This window comes from Homo sapiens, chromosome 11 (genome assembly GCF_000001405.40).
Source record: "Homo sapiens chromosome 11, GRCh38.p14 Primary Assembly".
Taxonomy (NCBI): Eukaryota; Metazoa; Chordata; class Mammalia; order Primates; family Hominidae; genus Homo; species Homo sapiens.
In genome coordinates this window covers 27401696-27423445 of record NC_000011.10, presented here as the reverse complement: position 1 = coordinate 27423445, position 21750 = coordinate 27401696, and the positions used below count along the sequence as shown (strand labels likewise).

The following is a 21750-nucleotide window of genomic DNA, read 5'->3' as shown; positions in this document are numbered from 1 at the left end:
GGGGTATGTGTTTGGGAGGGGAGTCTGCACGCCTCATCGCCTGAGGCGAAGTGATTGCTCCACAAGCCTGCATTATGGGGATGGTGAAATCCCAGGAAGCTTGCCTTTGGGTTCAGGCTCTGACGGTTGGCAGCTGGTCTTCAGGGTATATGGATTGCCTCATCATTTAGAATTCTCCTCTTGCCTCAACATAATGAGGTCAGTGCCTTAGTGTCTTAGAAACTGGAGCTGTTCTTGCCTAGGTCACTTATTGGATGTACAAACAGTGCTTATTGGAAGGCCCCTTTCAGACTGGGGGCATTAGGAGGGATTTACTGGAGTGTAGGTTTTTTGTGTTTTTTTCCCTTTGTTTTGTTTTTTTAATCTTAAAATCAATATGTTATCTAGGGATGGTTTTATCAGGTTATGTATAAACATTTTATGCACAGTAAGTGAAAAAAATGTCACGATGTTAATGTATACTTCTAAAAACTCAATAGAACCCAGGAGTAGCAGAGTGAAAATACAGCTAACTCAGTTTATCACCAGTTCTATAGAAACAGTTGAAAATAGAAGTGTAAGAAATTCTTGTAAATACCCCATGGGATCTCAGTGGCATTCTCTCATACTGTTACTGTCAGTTTTAGGGGGCCCATGTCACTAAAATATTAAAGATTAGGGTATGGACAAAGAAAAGGGAAACTTTAAAGGTTTTTAAAATCACTGGGCCAAGCTTGTGGTACTAGGAAGGCAGCTGTAATTTTGATTCAGTTTAAATGGAGGAATAAGAAATATTTGACTTGAGTAGGCAATTCCTTGAACTCATGGTTTTGAGTCTGTTTCATGGACAATATATTCGAACTTGAGGCTAAATCAGGGCATTCAGAGTTTGCAGTCAGGAAGAGAGAAGCAGGTACATGCTGAAACATTTTCCTGAATTGATACTTACCTTTACAACATTTGATGCATTCTGGCATTTTTCTGTTCTATTCTTTCCTCTTTCAATTTTTTAAAAAAGTTGGCTATGACCCATTGAAATGATTTCACAATCTATTAATTGGTTGTGAGCTGAAGTTTAAAAAATACGCGTCTAAACAGAAGTTTTCGTGGGCGTGCATGTTTGAAGGCAAGGACGGTGAAGTAATGTTTTCCTATCAGTCGCGTTAATAAGTGTAGCCATAATAAAACATAACCCATTTAGTTAATTAGAATATTTACCATAGTAAATGCTGTTGGATTGTTTTCTTTATGAATAGTGCATTTTGTCTGCTAGGATGAAGTAATTGAGTGTTTCCAATTTGCCCAGACGATAATCTTTATAATACTTCTTGTTGATGTTAAATGGACTATTGAAATAGTATTTTGTCTGTGTGTTTTGGCTGGTAATAAACACTGTTTTGTCATCGTAGGGTTACCAGAACAGCTGTTGACACCCAGAGATGCCTGGGAACACCAGTTAGGTAGGAAGAAAACAAGGAATATTATAGTTTTAACCCTTATCTATTCCCTGTGTTGCCAGATGGTAGGGTTCTTGATCAAATTAGAGACAGGAAAGTAATTTTTTTTGTCTTTGGCATTTATTTTTCTTTGCCATTTAATAGACATTACTCCAGAATTAGAGCATTTTATATTTTTCTCTTTAGAACATATCCCACACTTGTGAAAACTAGCCTGTTTAAAAAGACCAAAAGAAAAACAAACAAATAAACAAAACCAAAAGAAGCTGAACTTGTTTTAAAGCTAGAAAATATTGAATTAGTCTAACTAGTTTTATTTATTTTCTTTCTTTCTTTGTAGGTGGGCACCATCTAATAGTTTTATTTTTTAGTTACCCTTTTAAGAATTTGTAATTTAAGCCACACATACCTTTTGTTGTGTTGTGATATTTACACACCAGTGTTTTATCCTCACTCTTTTCTACCTTCTAGTGTTAGCTTCCCCTTGAAGAACACACCCTTAAATGTCTCCTAGGCTGTATTGCTTCATCAAGAGTGTAAACAATTACAGCATAAAATGGTACCTTTGGAAATGAAGTCATGCGTCTTTCTTAATTGCTGAACTCTTGTAATTCTGAAGGGGGTCTATTTTAGCCTGTACTTACTCCCATACTTGCTAACACAAGCAAATGGGCCTACACATACAGCTAGGAAAAGCATGAATCTAAGGGTTTCTTAGGGTTCCATAATTATGCATGGAATGTGCAGGAGCAGGAATGTCAAAGTAGGAGTAATCATGATAGATTTAGAAAGGGCCTTAGAGGTTAGTTGGTACAAAATATTTTACAGTGAAGGAAGCTGGAATTAAGCAGGTCTGGGTTTCTTCTTCCTAGCTTCCCCTCCCTTCGTCCCATTGTAATATATGGCTGTCAGGATGACGTTTCTACAGCAAATTTGATGTGCATAAACTTTGCTGGCAGCTTTCCACACTTTTAGAATAAAGTTCTGATTTCTAAAGGTCACATATGAAGGCCTTTTGGGATGTAGTTTTTGCTTGTCTTGGTAGCTTTTCTCACCACTTGTACACATACTGCCTATAATGATCAAATTCCTTGGTGGTCTTATCTTTTTGGACCATACTGCTTGTAATTCTCTAATTCCTTGATGGTTTTATCTCTTTGACCACTCTGGTTTTATCTCATTTGACCATGCTTTCACACATGATATTCTTTCTGACAAGAAGGCGCCCTCCACCTTCCCCCAAGACACACATTATCTAGTTCAGAGGCTTTCAACAAATTTTTTCTTTTAGTATGAACCCAGTGTGGATTGCAATTACATTATGACCATATACATATATAGGTGTGTGTGTATGAATGTACATGTGTGTATGTATATTATACGTAATATATATTTTATATAAAAATCTAAATAATTGTTATGAACATACTTATTTTTATATGTGATATACTTAACTTTGATATTAGTAATATCTGCCCTTTGTACCTGTGCACAACAGCTTTGGTGTTGGAAGCCTTTTTTGAGCTCCAGGTCTGATTCGATCATCTTCACTTGCTGAGTCACACGTCATAGTATTTACTTGTTTTGTTCCTCTCACTGCCTCAGACAGCTCTTGAGGGTAGAGACTGTGTCTCACTTGTCCTAGCACACAGGCACAGACCTAATAGGTGCTCAGTAAAGAGATAATGAAGAAACTGGACCCAGTGTTCTGCTACAAATTGATAGCCAAAATCGCAAAGACAGAAAAGAGCCCCATATTTCTCGATTCTCAAGACAGAGCTATGCATCAGAATTTTTCATTTAGAGTAGGACTTGGAGAATGGCTAGACATAGGATGAATTATTTTTTTTCTGAGGGGGAAATGTGAGAAGACACTATCATATATACTCTTAGTTATAAAAGAAAAAACCCACAAAATACAGGTATTGAGACTTAATTACATACAGCCAAATTCACACTTTTTAATATACAATTGTTTTGAAAAACTACAATTGTGTAACTGCTATCAAAATCAAGATATAGATCATTTCTATCACCACATAAATTTTTTTAATGCCTCTTCGTAGCCAGCCTTTTCTCCACCCCCCAACTGTTGCCACCACTGATCAATTTTCTGTGTCTATAGGTTCACCTTTTCCAGAATGCTGTATAAATGGAATCGTGCAATATGTAGCCTGTTGCATCTAGCCTCTTTTACTTAGCATAAGGTGTTTGAAATCATCCATATTGTTGCTTGTATCAGTAGTCTGCTCCTTTTTGTGCTGGATAACATTCCATTGTATAGACATACCAAAATTTCTTTATCCATTCACTAATTTAGGTTGTTTCCAGTTTGGGGATATATATACACATATATATGTGTATATATATAATTATATATATTATTATATATTATATTTATATATAATACATATATATTAAAACATATAATTATGTATATATAATTTATGTCTAGGATTGCTGGGTCATATAGTCATAAGTATATGTTTAATTTTATAAGAAATTACCAAACTGTTTTCCAAAGTGGTTGTACCATCTTGCTTGTTGCCAACAGCATATGAGAGTTCCAGTTGTTCCACATCTTTATCAGTACTTGGTATTGTCAGCTGCTATTTAAAAAAAATTTAGCCATTCTAAAAGTTGTATCATGTCTCATTGTGGTCTGATTTGCATTTCCTTCGTAACTACTATGAACATCTTTTCATGTGCTTATTTGCCATTTGTGTATCTTATTTGGTGAAGTATCTGTTCAAATCTTAAAAGCCCATTTTAAAATCAGACTTTTCTTATTATTGATTATAAGAGTTCTTTCTACATTGTAATATAAATTCTTTATATGTTTTGCAAATATTTCTTCCCAATCTTTTTTGTGTTGTTTCATTTTCTTAACAATGACAGCACAGCTTTGAAAGTCTTTGAAGGGAATATCCTAAAAGGTACTAAAGTAGAGGTTTTACCAGCCTGGGCAACACAGTGAAACCTGGTCTCTACAAATAATAATAAAATAATTAGCCAAGTAAGGTGGTGCTTGCCTGTAGTCCCAGCCACTTGGGAAGCTGAGGTGGGAGAATTGCTTGAGCCTGGGCAGTTGAGGCTGCAGTGAGCCATGATTGTGCCACTGCATTCTAGCCTGGGGCAACAAAGTGAGACTCCAGTCTCAAAAAAAAAAAAAAAAAAGATTTCAATCCACGAAAGTAGATGATCATAAAATGAATTAAACATTTTTCTGATAGAAACAAGTTTTTTTAAATTCATTTCTAAGATTTGAAGGTGACATTTTCTCTAGCCTTTCCAAGTTGTTAAGAAAGATTATACTTAGGGTGTTGAAGTACCTTAAATAGATAATGACTTTACAAGTTGATAACTTGTCTCTGCCATAATTAATGTTTATTTTTAAGTGTCAATATGGGTGTTGTGGCATCTGTCCTCTTAAGGATTCCAAGGCTGTAGAGAAGCATGTTTTGGATTCCTCTTGCTGGGAAGTACTCAGCCTTGGTACCTGAAAAAAACAGAAGATGTCAGACAGCATGGAGCCAGTTTATCCTACTGCTCAAAACTGTTTGTAGTAGAAATGGAACACAGACATTAGAAGGGTGTCTATTGTGACACTTGGTTGGATTCTAGTCGTGCTAAAACATGTAGGGTCAAAAAAATATCTTTGGAGCAAAATCTAACATGGCACATATACTGTTTTGGCCGCATTTCTGCGGCCGTATAAATAGCCGTATCTTCATGTAGCTGTTCTTGTTGTTTTCAAAATGAAATAATGCAATTTGAAAACAGTTAAATTTAATTGAATGTTGCAACAGTGTCTTAAACAGTAATAGCAAGTTAAGAATAGAGTGGACTAATGGAGTTTAATACAAAAAAAAACCTATTGATAATAACATCTTTTGACATAAAAGCCTTACTATCCACGTACAGTACCTTGCACATATGTGCATAATGGATATTTTGTAAATATTTGTTCAATGGATGACAGGATATCTCCTTTCCCTCTTGTAAAGGAAGCCCTTAATTAACCTCTATTCCTTTTGGCATGGTGGCTTTCAATAGCAAAGATGTTCCAATCCCATGATGTATGGGCTGCTAAAAATAGCATTGATATATATTAGACTTCAGTGTTTACACTTTCATTCAAAGGTATTTTCAAGGAAGATTTTTTTCATTTTGCAAATGAAGAATCTTTTAGGTGTCAGGAGATGAACATGTTCAGAACTATACGATTTCAGATTTGTAAAAATATATACCATACATAGAAAAAAATCTGTAATGAAATCCATGAAATATGGCTGTGGTTACCAGTGGGTGTTGATATTGTGGATGGTTTTCTCTGTATTTCAATTTTTTAAAAACAACAGTGGTTACTTTTGTTATCATAAAAAGGTGGGGAGAAAATGAGATTACTTGCCCCAAAATATGGAATAGTGTCAGAAATCAAATTCTTAATGAACTTTGATTAGAACTTTGGTGTTATGTGTGTCTTTACTACTTGTGGTTGAGAGAGACCTTCCCTTCAAATTTGTTCCACTGGAGGCATTTTGCAAAGTTCATTTTTAGTTTTCAGTTTTTGGTCATATTGTAGACATCCGTTAACTGGAGATTGGCCTGAAATTTCTGGTTGATTACCAAAGACCCTGGAAAAGTCATTGGGAGAGTTTTTTTTATTTATTTCTAAGATTTGAAGGTGACATTCTTGGTCATTATCAACATGTGTTTTTTGAGTTTATGGACATCACCATCATTTTTTTTTTCTTTTCCTAGAGAACATTTTAGAGAACCCTGTGTTCTCTTGAACCTGTATATAATTTAGTGACTTTTTAAACTGCCAGATAATATTTGAGATAAAATTAACAATATAGTAGTAGCAGTACAGTTTTATCTAATACAAATAGGAGGGCTTGTTCAAATTTAGATAACATTGGGTCAATCACGGTATATTTAAAATTAAATAATTCTGTGGCAGAAGGCCCAGACCCAGTAAGGATGCAGTGTTAGAGTCCACAGTGGTACATGCTTAGCCATCAGCAAACAGGTTAGGCTTGCTTAGGGATCATTTTACAGGGATCTTAAAAGGTACCTTGTTGAAACATGATATTCTTTACTCTGTAGATACTTTAGCATTAGTGAATTTTATGGGGGAAAAGACGATGAGAGTTTAACCACTGGAGAGATTTGGCAGTTTCAATTAAACAGTTGCACCCTTTAAATTTTAATTTTGAAATCAATGACTGCTGGTATTTGGGAGTTCATGTTTATTTTTCTAGGAAGGTGATGTGCTTTTGTATTTCTAATCTTTTGTTTAAATGAAGTATTTGATCTTGAAGGGTTCTCCCAGCTTAAAATCTTTGTCTCCTGGGGTTCTGGAGTTTAGTTTTGTGTTTAGGAACAACTGCTCCAAGTTTTAGGTCTTCTGCAACATTTAGTGTCTTCTGTAAAAGTGGTTTCTTTCTGAGAAGGCCAACAAAGGCAGTGTGGTGTCTCCTTTTAGTCTGGTCTTGGTCCACTGGATTCAGATGGCTTCCAGGAGCAGCGAAAACATGGATGATGATAAGATAACAGCTCTTTCTTGTTGAACTTATTATACATGACCTGACATTTTCTGATCTTCACATCAATCTATAAGGTTCAGTTATTACTGCCTCCGTTTTACAAACGAAGAAGCCAGGGCAGAGAAAATATCAATTTGCCAAAGATCACACAGCTGGTGGTAGTAAGTCCATATGTAAACCTTGGTCTGTCTGGCGCCAAAGCCCGTACTCCCAGTAAGGCCATCAGCTCTCTGGAAATTGCCCTTCTGAGACATTTGGGAGTTGGTGGTGCTTTGACCTCATATGATATATATTTACATTTGGTTTTCTATCCCAGAAGGTGAAATCCTGCGATTTATTACTGATGCCACTGGTAAGATTGTACAACTCATGTGAATTTGAAGGTACTAATCTGTAGGAGCATCTTCTGGCTGAAAATTCTTTAAACAACTTCCTTATATTTATGTATCATAATAATTTATATGGCTTTTGAGCCTCATATATTTGTAATTATTGTCATAGGTCATCCTTTCTAACCTCTTATTTATAAAGTCTGTGTACTTCAGATTCTCTTTATGGTGTTGGTAATGTCAGATCTAGAATCTACTCTTAAGACTATCTATAGATTGTTTATCACCATCAGCCCTCATTATTTTAAATGGATACCCACGCAACTATACTCTGTAACTACAGGTTTCCAGAGCTTCTCCGGAGATAACATCTTGTAGCTCACCACTGCCCCCACACCCAACTTTTTACTTCATAAATGTTGTAACTGAATCCCAGAAAGTATGAGAGAAAACATCTGTAAAGAGGGAACTTCTCCGGGTGTGTGAAATTAAGAAAAATTTAGAAATAAGTATTACTCCTGAATCTGAAGCTTTGAAATAAAAACTCACCGTGTGTTTTACATATGTTAGTTTGTAAATATGGAGTCTCACTAATTGCATTTACAGCTCACAGCAAAACTACCTGTTACGTCTTGTTACTATAAGGAAAAAAATCAGAGCTGTGCGTGTGTGTGTGCATGTTTTAAAAAACTGGAATGCAGAGAATAGTGTGGTGTAAATTGTCTCTAATTATGTGTCTTTTTCTGGTGAGGCAATTAATTGGTTCTCTCCAGACCTTTTTCTGATGAGGAAATTAATCAGTTTTTCTGTTACAGTGATAACTCACCTGAATTCAGGTGTGCCAAGCTTAGAGGAAACTGTACAGAATGCCTCATTTTGTAAAGCAATCAATTCTTGTTGTCCTTCCTCTTTTTATTAGAATGACTGAAAAGCACCAAAACTGTCTGATATTTTACAGAATCATTGTTTACTCATTTTGGATCATTATTTTGCTTTCGATATGATTAAATGTTTTGTTGTATTCTTGAGAATGATTTTATTGGTTAAGGCCAAATGTATCTCCCGTGAGAGTGACTTAGTAATTTAATAATGACAGAGGGATAGTCTTTAAACTTTGCATTATGATAAACTTTTCAGAAACATTCTATAAAATGAATCTCATCTGTTTTTATCTGAAAAGGTAGACTCCTCCATGAATAAACTACAGAAAAGGGTGAATCAGTATATAATGTCAGTATAAAGGTGACAGTATATCATGTCAGGCCAGGAAGCCACCCAAGCAATCAGCTTCAATTTACTGATGAGCAGATGGAGGCCCACTATCGTACAATGGCTATGTGGCAGTGTGGGAGTTGCGCCTGCCTTTTCTGACCCCTGTTTTGGTGCCATTTCTCCAGTATCTTGCTAGAGTGTTTATGAAAAACAAAACATTTCCTCGCCCCTTCCCCCAGGGATAATGATCACTGACTAAAGTAGTATTGGGGCCTGGGTTTTAAAATAGTAATTCCTAGAGAAGCATAGTAATTTGGCTTTTCTTTTAAGCTCCTTTAGTAGGATTTGAGTTGTTTTCAATGATATAACATTTTAGAGTGCATGTATGTCTCTATGGTCATAAGACTCATCTAAAGGGAAATTTCTTGTGCTAAGAAATGTATATTAATGTTGGTTAATGTTGGTTCCTTAATTGCTAAAGCTATTCCTGGTCCTCTTTTTCTTTTTTCTTTTTTTTTTTAAACCCCGGTTGTCAAGCAAAAGTGCTCTTCCAGAGATTCATGGATAATTATGTCAAGGTGTTAGGGGCATTATTCCTCCCAGTTTTTAAGCTTGATGGGACTCAAGTATTTGTTTTACATCTTGGCTACCACTGGAGAGAAGTATTAATAACAGGATTCAAATAATACTTAAGAAGACTCATCGTTTGCACTTAAGGTCATGGGCTCTGGTGTTTTCTGTTACACTGCTTATTGAATGGTCTTGGGGAAGCTTTTTTAACCTCAGTAAGCCTCAGTTTCCCCATTTGTAAAGTAAGATTTTCTATGTAGTCTTACCATGTTAAAAGCATGCACTGCATCTTAGCTGCTGCTCCTGCTGTTTTTGTTGCTGCTACTGTTACTGTTATTCCCAAGCCAAAAACTTTTCCAAACCTGCTTTGGGAAAGGCTAGTAAGAAAGGATGTAGATTCCATTTCTAAATTTTAGTGAGAGGAAAGATGGGGAGAAAGGACGTACCTAGCATGATACTGAAGGTGTCGCCTCCTTTAAAAGAAAATTTTACCTGATGGAATGGATGGAATAACACAGTATTATTGTTGTAAGCTGACTTCGGTATGCTTCATTTCTCTTCTCCTTCCTCATACCAATATATGTACTATACTAATGGACATGTCCTACATGTGAAGTTTCATGCCAGGTTCTAGAGAGGGGAGACCCAAGGGCTCAGCCACAGAATTAAACACCATGGAACAGAAGGAGGCAACTCCACTGCCCCAGCGCATGCTGGGACTTTCCCTTATGGGGCTGTTTTAACCTGTCTTTCATGGTGCTGATGTCAAGTGGAGTGTGGCAGAGAAAGCCAGTTCAAAAGGCAGCTGCCAGGGAGGAGGGAAATGGTTAATAAAGTATTTTTTAGCTGTTTGAATTAGTGAATTGTTGAGTTATATTGCTGGGTGAGTTTTCTTTCTGCGGACGCTCTTAAGGGAAAACTGGAAATGGACCACATACCTATCATGTACGCACTTGTCCTTAGCCTGCATCTGTTCATAGGCGGAACATGAAATCCACTGACAACTGTTACCTGGAGGACTTTTATAGGTTTTGAAGAAAATATGACTAGGGTAGAGCTAGGACATGCTTTTATTGTCCTTGAGTGACTCCAGAAGCCACCCTCACCTATAAATTCTACATATCGTTCCTAGGGTATTCATTTGTTTATTTTGATCAGGTATAGGTAGTACTGTGAATACCAGAGCACTGGGAAGCCACCCTGGCCCACTTATTTTAGGTGGTTTGAGACTTTTTTCCAAGGATACTTAAGAGGGGAAAATACAGGATCTGAGTACATTTCTAAATTATGGGACATAATTTATAACAGAACATTTAACTTTTCTGTGTTTTCTGAATATTGCATTCTGAAGCCAAATTGTGACTGTTTCTATGTGTCTTCTATGCTCTTTCACAAAATTGTAACACCTAGTTAGTTTTCTGTTGGATTAAATACTTTAAGCTTCATACCACTTAATTAACAATATTCTTAACTTTACGTTTTCCAGGGATATCAGTATGAACAACATTACTCAGTTGCCAGAAGATGCATTTAAGAACTTTCCTTTTCTAGAAGAGCTGTAAGTATTACTTTGAGAAATGTGTGTGTATGTCTTTTTCCCCAATTCATTTTGGAAGCTTTTGCTACAGAGAAAGTCTGATGTTTTCTGTTAGACATTCTGATAGCTTAATTTCAGTGGGCTTTGTGAGGAGGAAATCATGTTTCTTGGGGGAAGTAAACTTGGTTTTCTAAGCAGCATAGTTGCTGAAGCTATTTTTGAAAGCCATAACTAAAAAAATGCTACTTCCATAGGACTTCTTTTTTGCTGCAATTATTATAACTACAAATGCTGCAGTGACACCAGTTAATTACAGTGTTATTCTGAGATAACAAGGCTGCTGTATAATTACCATTGTTACCAAGGAGTTGCTATATGGGTAACAGAACCACAAAAAATAACACAAGGTGTTTCAGGGCCATGAGCAACAATTTCAACAGTGAGCCAGCAGAAAACTGAGGGTAGGTCCCCTTGGACAATTGCAGATGACCTTTGGAAATGGGGTGAAGGCATGAAACACTGTCTAGGTCTCTAAGAGCACCTTTAACTTTAAGAATGTTTCTGAACTTGTCAGTTGCATCTCACATTTCCAATTTAACAGTTTGCACTGTGGAAATATTTTCTCCTTGTTTCAACCTCCTTTTTGTTGTGCTCTCCACACTTTTTTGAAGTCCATAATCAAAATAGGCACTTTCGGGTTTTAAAAGAATTGGGAACTATATATTATATTTTGAGAATCCCAGTGAAAAAATAAAATCGACTTGAATTAAGTTAATATAGGCTTCTACAGGCCAAGCTAATGGATTATATAATATATAGAGGTAGGAAGGTGATGGTTTGATACTAAGAACATCAAAGAGATATAGCCCTGAAGGAATCTAAATTCATATTACAGATTGTGTCATACAGCCCAGCTGTTGAGTATTAGATCCAAGTCAGCGAATGTCTTCCATCTTTTAGCTCGGCCACTCCCCTAGAGAATGGGGAACAGGAGTCTAATAAGATATCCAGGTTATGTACTCTGATAGAATATTGAAATAGTAGTTAAAGAGAAATGTTTCTTCCCACACTACTTAGTCAAACATAATGCTCCCACTGCAAAAGTTGAACAGAGATTATTTGCCACTTACAAGTTTATGAGCTAGGTCAAATTATTCTCTCTGCTCAATTTCTTTGAAAAAGGTGCAGCTAATAATAGTCCCTCCCTCATAGTATTCTAGAGAAGACAGAGTGAATTCATTTATGTTAAATGCTTAGGACAGTACATGAAACAGAATGAATGTTATATAAATGCTGACTAATGTTTATTTTACTATTTTCAAAGTGCATAAGAAAAAAAGCAGAAGAGTATATACCAAATGTTATCCTTGGGTAGAAGTATATGTTTTATTTTTGCCTCCTGTGTTGTTGTTTTTTTTTTTCTTATAGTGAACATTAATTATTTTGTAATAAAGTTATTTTTAATTAAGATTTTTCAATTGAGTTTAAAAGAAGCAAACCATCCATTTGAAGTTTCCACCTCCACCCCCTTTATGAAGCCTTAAGATGCTTTACCTCTTCCTTTTTATTTCACATACAATTTTAGACTATAGGGTTAGTCTCTCTTTACAGAAGTAATTATGTGATGGAAGGACATTAACAAATGGTTGTTCAGCCATTGTATAATATAATCACTATGGGATGGGTAATGTACCAGGCCAGCAATGGAGAAGCTCCCCTCATTCTGGGTGGGGCCACTGTGTGCACACCATCTTCGTTGATGCCTTCGATTGCCAGTTATACTTTAAGGAATTTCGAAGTGAAGACCTGGATGTGGAGTCAAACCTGGTTAATCTGCTTAGCGAAGTTCACATCTTGGATTTCTTAAAATCTCAAATGACCAACCATATGCCAACCTCATGAATTCTGCCAACCAGGACTTTTAATTGGAACCAAATTGAATTTGACTGCTGATTCTTTGTAGCAAGGTCATATTCTCTCCATATTCTCCTATCATAGTAATGAAACCCATGAAATCAAGTCCGTATACTCTCTCTAAATGTTGTATGGTGTTTCAAAAATGAATTCAGTTAGGAGAGCAGAATGTTATTTTTAAAGAATACTTCAAAATAGTCTTTAATAACTTTTACAGTACTGTAGGCACTCAAGAGAATTTATTTTCCACATTAATATAAATACTAAAATAAATATAAAAAGCCTATGCTTTTTCCTTATTAAACAGTGTAGTTGATTTTGACATTCCAAAATGATGCCGCCATGACTATTGTAATATTTCATAAACAGCATAACTGTTTGTCTAGGAGTCATCTGGAAGTCATTTAAGAGTGATCATGAAGCCAAATGCCCTGAGTAGAAATTATTTGCTGAGGGTTTTTCCATGTTAGTTAATGAGGTGTGCTTTACAAGATGTGACTGGGTTTGGCAAAATTTGATGTGATGAATGTTTAAATGTGATAGAATGCTTGGGGTATTGGGAGAAATCACTTCCCAAGAATACAGAAGAAGTATGTATAGATACTTACACATTTCCTTATTCTTTCAATAAACTCTGAATCCTACTCTATGCCAGGTGGCAGGTGCTGGGAATACAGATACAAGCATGACCCATCTTCAAAGTTGACAGACCCTCTAGAGTTGTGCTGTCCAGCACCGTAGCCACTAGCCACAGGTGGCTATTATGTTTAGATTTAAAATGAATAAAATTAAATAAAATGAAAAATTCAGTTCCCTTAGTTGAACTAGCCACATTTCACGTGCTCATATAGCTGCCTGTGGTTGCTACTATATTAGACAGTGCAGATGTGGATCATTTCCATCATTGCAGAAAGTTCTATTGGACAACATTGATCTAGGGGGAGAAATGAAACTAACACTTGTTGCATCATAGTGAAGACGTGTGTGCAGGGAGGAAAGGCCTAAAACAGTGTATTTTCTTAAGACTGTAGGATTTGGGATAGTCTTCCACAGTAGCTTCTGCTGAGTGTTGAAGGACATGTAGGAATTAACCAAATGAGGGTAGTAGTAAGGGTGTTGTAGGAAGAACTTCATAGTATGTGGAAGGCATGGACATAGAAAATTTCAGAAGTTTTAGGACGCATAAAGTTGTGTCTTGTTATGACAAGACTAAAGGGTACATATGGAAAAATGTCAGGAGACGAGGCCAGATAATGAAGGGTCATTTTAAGATAAGAAATTTAGACTTGTTCTGAAGGAGTTTAATTTGATATTTGGGGAGTGATAGGAATGAGACTAGGGTTTTTGCCCTGAATAACTGGGTGCCATTTGCTGAGACCGGGAACACAGAGAGCTGATCTATTTGGGACCCAAAGAATTCCATTTGATAAAGATAAGAGTGTAAATAGTATGTGTTTAGAGCTTTACAATGAACAGAAGTCCATTCCCATAACTCTGTAAGGAAAGTCAGTTTCACAAAAGTTGAAGCTGAACTGACAAGGTTAAGGGCCTTATTGGAGTTCATGAGCCTGGTATGCTGTTTTGCTGGGACTTGAAGTCAGGCCCATAGAGCCCAGTTCTTTCTGGAACACTGTGAGTGATGTGCTGGGACTTGAAGTCAGGCCCCTAGAGCCCAGTGCTTTCTGGAACACTGTGAGTGATATGTATTTGTTCTCAGGAAAATATTCCATCCAACTTTTTCAGTGAAATGTACTTTAGATACTATTGTTGCCATTTGTTTTGTTTTCACATTTAACCTACTTTTTTTCCTCCTTCTTTTTCCAATCCTGCTTCTTCTGTATATTTAACCTACTTTTTGAAAGTTTTATAGTTCATAAATAGTGTTACCTAGTGATTCCTGCTCTCCCCCAACACCTGTTGGGAATATAGAAACATAGATTGTGGCCCCAAATTCAGTACATGAAAGGTTCTGAAATCTTTGCACTTTACTTTCCTATTCTTTACAATGGAACTTCTCACAGAACTACCGTAAAGGAAATATGGGATAATTTATGTAAAAGTGATTTGTAACCATAAAATGCTATGTCGCCGTGAGAAATTTTACTAATCATCTTAAACATTGCAGTCTTCCTTGATATCATTTGGAAGAGAGATGGTTTTGCTTGGGGGTAGAAGTTGGAGTTTCTGTTCACAATGTAAAAGGAAAGCCAGAATTTTAAGAAAACATTCACTTAGCGTTGACAGGCTCTGCTGCCTGATGTGACGTTGTCAGACATGTTTTTGGCTCTCCTTTAGGCTTGTTGGGTATTGGTAGTCATTTGGGGGATGGCTGAAATTTGGAGCTGTGAAAATGTTGGAGTTAGGAACAGCAGAAAGGAATATCCAGCTAATTTTCCATAAGCTGTCACTGAAAAAATTGCTGTGGCTGTTACTTTGATGTGGCAACAGCAGTAGAAGCCATTGCCAGCTTTGGCACTTGGACAGTTATTGTTTAATGCACACTATATGACTAGGATAATTCCAGTTGTTTCAAAACATGATTTGACTTTGGAAGACTTCACAATGCTAAAGTGAAACTTAGGTCTCTGAATACTAATTGAAGATTACCTGTCATTTTGTTTCATCTGTAGGACAGTTAATTCTAAATGGAATTACTACTTTACCAAACGGGGCTAGTAAATAATTTAAACAGAAAGGTTTAAAATCAAATAAAAACAGGGGTGGGTCAAATTAAATAGTTTTAAATAATTGAATTACATATTTATACACACACACATAACATATGTCAAATACAGCTATTCAATTCATATATGTAATTCAATCCATGATAATAACATATACAAACATATTTAAAACATTCTGCACACAGATCTATATAATATTCTGTATCAAGGTAATTTCAGACTTTCAAAATATTGCAAGCATAATTTTTCATATACCCTTCACTCCAATTTCCCAAATGTTAACTTTCTCTCTCTCTTTCTTTCCACACACATACAAAATATATGTACATTTTTTTCTGAACCATTTGAGAGTAAGTTTTAGATAAATCTTTAAATATTGCAGTGTGTAGTCCAGAAACACAAGGATATTCTCTTGAATAACCACAAGATGATTGTCAAACTCAGAAAACTAGCTTTGATATATGTTATCACCTGATCTACAATTCTTATTCAAATTTCAACAGCTGTCCCACTGATATCCTTTAGCGAAAAAGAAAAAAATATTCTGGTCCAGGATATTATCCAGAATAATAAACTATATCTGGTTCCTGTGTTTCAATAATTCATTTTAAATTTCTAAAAGTATTTTTTCATAGTCTTTACCTAAGTTAATGCTAAAAACTTAATTATGTGCTAAAAATATATTCTATTGCATTTAATACTCATGAGACCCCTATGAGGAGTTTATTATTACTTATTTACAGGTGATGACACGGAGGCTTTAGAGAGGTGGAAAACCTAACTGTGCTCATAGAGTAAAAGCACAGCCAGGAATTGGATCTATGTTCATCTGATTCAAGTCATTGCTCTTAGTTTCTAAGCTATAATGTTGCCTCAAAAGGCACAGAATTGGAGGGGAGCTAAAGGGACCATCCAGTCACTATTACCTGCAACTCTAAGTAGGTCAACATCTAACTGTCAAAGGGGATCAGCTGCCCAGTATTTCCTGTAGTAAGTTTGCTGACCAAATTTGTGAACAAGGAGTTCTTCCTAGAATAAAATTTCCTTATCTAGCCATACCATTTTACAGATGGGAATATCAAGACCCAATAGTAGATAAGTGGCTTGTCCAAAGTAACACAGTTAGTATGTAACTAAGCCAGAATTAGACCTTACAGAGTTCAATGTCATCTCTTCTATATCTTACCAATTTTTATATCTCTGAGATGCATAGTCTCAAATAGTCTTCCTGGGTTGTTCAGAGCTGTAGAAAGTAGCTATTGTTCTCTTCTAATACAAGGAATTCCCTTTGCTTCCAAACTAAAGTTTGACTCACTTAACGTTTACTCCCTTGATGCAGCTTTCTCAGATAAGCTCTCTTGACTGCAGTAATTTCCCAGAAAAAGCAAAATAGTTCCTCAGTTGCTCTGGTGATGTTTCACAGTTAAAAATATTAACTTCTTTGGAAGCATTCTCTTGTTCCACTTTGCAGCCCTCTGGTAGGATGACTTGGTAGCAAAGATCACGACCCTTACTGTTGGGAAGCACATACAGAAGTCATAGAGGAGTGTTACTTATCTTACTCAAGACATTGCCTATAGTGTGTCATTTGGGGAGCTCTCAGAGTAGAGATTAAGGGTGAAAACAGATAAATCATAAGGGAGTTTGTGCTAATATGCCGTATAGGCCCTTCTAGAAAACATTGTTTTGTTTTATTTTAACTCATAAAACTCTGTGAGCTATCATTATTCCCATTTTGCTGATTGGGAGCCGAAGCTTTTCATCAGAGAGGTTAAGTAACTGACCCAAGTTTACATAGCTCATTATAAGCTGGGTGTCAATCCCAGATCTGCCTATGCCCCTGTAGATGTGGAGAGGGTGAGGAAGGACTTGCTAGACAATGTATAGTAAATTCAACAAACTTTTGTTGGCTGAACCACTATGTTCAGTGCTGGATCAAATGAGATTCTTGCTTTCAAGGGAGAGGGATAGTATACTCGCTATGGGAATTCAAATTGGAAGGAAAATTACTTCTAGCAAGAAGGAACGATGGCATTTCTGGAGAGCCTAGAGGGGATAGGGGGAGTTATTCAAGAGGACATGTACAAAGACCTGCAGAGGAGCATGAGCAAAGATGGGGACACAGACTGGGATAGGTGGTAAAAATGGTTGGTTTGGTTGCAATTTTGAATTATTGAAAGGAAGTTATGGAAAAGATACGCAGAGCTTAGGGCTAGACTAAGGACATTTTGGCAGACTGAAACAGACTTTAAACTCTTGAGTGACTCTTGAAGTTTTTTTGAGCTAGGGAATGATTTGTTCAGATATGACCTTCAATAAATGTAGTCTCATAGCAGAGAGTTTGAAATTGAGAGAGTTCAGGGAGAAATGAAAATGCCACTGGCAATCGTCTAGGTGAGAATTATGAGAATCCAAATTAGGGCAGATGGGAGGCAGGGATAGGGAGGAGGGCACCTATTCAAAAGATGTTATGGAAATAGAATCAAGAGAATGTCTTGGCTGGGATGATAGGGGTAACATCATTAACAATGAATTTTAAGATTACCAGGAGTCTGGTGGTGCTTTGACGAAAATTAGCAATAATGCAGAAAGAGAAATTTTTTTAGAAGAGAAGATAATTAAATGCTGTTTTTAACATACATGTGGAGTTCAGGTGGGATATGGGTGGAGGCATCTGGAAATTCAGGAGTGGAGTCCAGGATAGAGATCGAAGGGCATAGATTATAGAATAGTGTATCGTGGGTATAGATTTAGGAGTCTTTTATTTTGAGGTCATTACTGGAAACATTAGATTGAAAGAGCTTGCCAAGGGAGAGAGGGTAGAAGAAAAGGGAAGAAGGCCAAAGACAACTCCTTGGGAAACACTTGAATCAGGGTGTGGGAAGAAGACCAAGTGCCGGAGGAGCAGGAGAACTGGGGCAGAACTCTGCCCCAGGAGCTGTGGGAGGAGAGGTTTTTCACAAAGAAATGAGAGATCAACACTGACATGCTGGAGAAAGATGCCCATGACTAGTGAGAAAGGGCCTTGACTTCTTTAAGTATTTTTGGAATCATTTCAGTAAGTTGTTGAAAGTGACTTTGGGTAAAGAAGCTCATCAGGAAACAGACATTTGGGGACTGCTAATAGGTGGTTTTTGGAGAGTGGTTAAAGCTTAGAAGTTGTACTGCATTTGACTGGAGTCTATTGGGTTTAAGAGACAGAAACCCAGCTGAGGCATAATAGAGGATTTATTGTTGCATGTAGATAGAACTAGACAGTCCAGAAGTGGAGTTGGCTTCATATGTTACTGGATCTCGAGGCTTAAAAGCTACAAGAGTTTTCTCATGCTTTCCATTTCTTAGCTTCAGTTGTCTCTACTTTTGTGTTCTGGCTTCATTCTTTCCTGTTGCAAATAGCCTGTCTCCATAGAGTGGGGAAATACACCTTTCAGTACATTGTTGCTTCTAGGCACCCAAAATAAATATCTAAAAGTGTTCCTCACTGCAAAACTCCTAGGGGGATCCTGATTGGCCAGACTGACCTCGTATGCCTGTCCTTGCACCATCACTCTGTTTGAGATGGTATGGTGCAACCTGGGTTTTGGACTCATCCTAATAGGACTGCTTAGAGTTGGGAATTCCCCAAAGGAAGCAGAAGAAAAGAGAAAGGAAGACCTGCTGGGCAGAAAGAAACCATAGTTATTCACTGGCCACTAGGATCTAGGGACTAGGCATACTGTGGGAAACATTTGTTTAATTGGGCCAGTCTGAAATGAACAAAGTATTATTGAAGAATCGTAAGCCCTCAGTTGGGCTTAGATAGTATAAATTTGTAGTGAAACCAACTAGATCTTTAATTTTGTCCCATAGTGCTTAGCAGCCCAGGAACGAAGGTGATGAAAGATGTGATGGACTCAAAATTTGGATTTGATAAATCAGGACTTCATAGGAGACTAGTAGAAATCAAACAGGAGAATCAAGTGGTTCAGTATTATAGTGTTTGGCATGGGGTTCCAAAAGTGTAGCGAGGCAAATGAAACCATGGTTTGCTGGCTCATTTATTTATTTTAATCAATACTGACTATTATTTGGCTAAATATAGTACTGACTGTAAGTAAATGAAAATGTATTTGATTTTCTACTAGCAGGATTCAATTTTCCAGCAAGAAAATAGGCTAAGTCATTCTTTCATACATTGACCACTCTTAGTCAAGCCATGCTTATTCAATACAATAAATATGTGCTTTAGTAGGACCTTTGACTTAGAATTTGTTCATCATTTTCCCCTGTTCACTACCTGTTAGTTTGGACTATATGCATACTTCAAAGATGATCATTTTAGAGATGCTAGAATATTTGTATCACAGATACATTCAGCTTTTTAAAAAAATCATAGTTATAAAAATGCTTAATATAAACTGGACTTTTAAAAAACAATTACAAAAATAAGTGGATACTGTTTTTTAAATCTTGAAGATGTATCATATTTGAAAGATATGGAGCCATTATCCTACTATGGAGAGATAACTATGGTTAATATTTTGTACATGTTTCCAAACTTTTCTCTGAGTATATGTATACAATTTCCTTTAAAAAATAGACTCCTACTATATTTACCACTTATGCTATATCTGCCTTATTATAATTTTACATATTAATACATCTAGTTTTTACCATCATTTAATAAATGCATAGTGCTTTATCATTTGGATGATTCACATTTTATGTAACAAGTCTCTTGCTTTGTGGTGGTGTTATGAACAGCAGTTTTAGAAACTTTCTGTTTTTTTGAGACAGGGTCTCACTCTATTGTCCAGGCTAGAATGCAGTGCAGCTCACTGCAACCTTGACCTCACGGGCTCAAGAGATCCTCCCACCTCAGCTTCCTGAGTAGCTGGCACATGCCACCATGCCCAGCTAATTTTTGTATTTTTTGTAGAGATGGGGTTGCCCTGGCTGGTCTCTAACTCCTGGGTTCAAGCAATCCTCCTGCCTTGGCCTCCCAAAGTATTGGGACTACAGGCATGAGCCATCGCACCCAGCTGTGGAACATTCTTATCCTATCTAGTCTTTGTTTATTGGATGTACTGTCTTTAATTGTGCTGCTTTTATTACAGTGTGGCTTGCCAAATTTAGCTCTTTTCCTAAATTCTTACATTACAATTAGATTTAGCTGTTTATAAGGGAAAACTCCAAGTAACAGTGTCTTTAAACACATCAGGCTTTATTTTATTTACCTGAATATGAAATCTGCAGCCTGGTGACCTGGAGCTGCTATGATGCATCACAAAGTTAGCAGAGACGTAGGCCCTGACATTCTGCTCTGTAGTTGTTTGTGTATTTGCTTCTACGTCAAGATCACTAGATGACTGTGTACTGGAGCTGCAGCCATCAAAACCCTATCCTCAGCAGTAGATAGGATGAAGTAGGGAATAAAGAGGGGCATAGTTCCCAGTAGCCAGCTTTCTTTAAGAAGGCATCTTGAGCATACCGCACAATGCTTCTATTCACATCTCACTGGCTAGAACTTAGTCACATGGCCAAACGGCAGGGGATGCTGGGAAACAGGACCTTTGAGCTGGGTATATTGTTGCCTGGACTAAAATCTTTTCTTACTTTATTACTAGGTAAGAAAAGAAGAGTAGTTATCATTTAGGCAGTTAAGGTGCTTTTGGCAGCAAGTGACAAAACTCAATTAAAAGTAACTTTTAAACAGTAAGGAAGTATATTATCTTACATGACAAGGTGGTAGAACTATTCCAGGGCTGATTTATGGAGTTGCTCAGCCACGTCGTCAAGAACCCAGGGTATCTCCTTACTTTCTAGTGTGCTCTTCCCCAGGAGGGTCTGTACCATCCTGTTATCACTCCACATAGAATATTCAGACAGGAAAGCACCTAGAAGGAGAAAAGGGTCATCCTTCTAATGCGTTCTCATTTAGGAGTAGAGCTGTCTTTCTCAGAAATCCCTAGTAAACTTCCTCTCACTTCATTAACCAGAGCTGGGGTCACAGGTCTATCCCTAAACCAATTACTGGAATGGGACCAGCAGGAAGGGTTAAGGCCAGTTGGTATTTACTCATGGAGCTGAGTCATGTGGACGGGAGGATATTTGAACAAATATAGGCTCTGCCAGGAAGGCGTGAATGGGTGTTAGGTGGGCAACCAACAGGGTCTGTCTGCCAGAGTACCTCTCTATATTCACATTTTACCCATTTTTATAGAGCCATTTTGAGCCCTTTCTGCCATATGAAGCCTTCTCTGATCTTCCTTTTCCAAGCCCCTCTTGCACTCTCTACTTCTCACCACTTAGCAGCGTATTGCATGCCTTGTTATTTCGTGCTTCAAGTGTGTCAGTGTGTACTTATCCCCTCAACTCTATTGACTTTTCTCTAAGGAAGGGCAGGGCCTGTTGTCACACTTCTATATGACCTTGGTGACAGTTACCACATTCTTGAACTTGAAATTGAGGGAGGGGTTAAGACAAAGGATTTCTTCTCATTTTGAATTGATTGATGTAAGAAACCTTATCAGTCTA

General features: G+C 37.0%; 1 protein-coding gene across 2 annotated transcripts in view; it reads left to right on the top strand.

The window, feature by feature from the left end:
* Positions 1 to 21750, top strand: part of LGR4 (leucine rich repeat containing G protein-coupled receptor 4) — a 106830-nt gene that overhangs the window by 49345 nt on the left and 35735 nt on the right. The window contains exon 2 of one of the 2 annotated variants that reach the window (NM_018490.5): positions 10586 to 10657. The exons of the other annotated variant lie outside the window; for it this stretch is intronic. Coding sequence (NP_060960.2) covers positions 10586 to 10657 — 72 coding nt within the window. The remainder of the gene's footprint in view (positions 1 to 10585; positions 10658 to 21750) is intronic. 2 annotated transcript variants of the gene reach the window in all.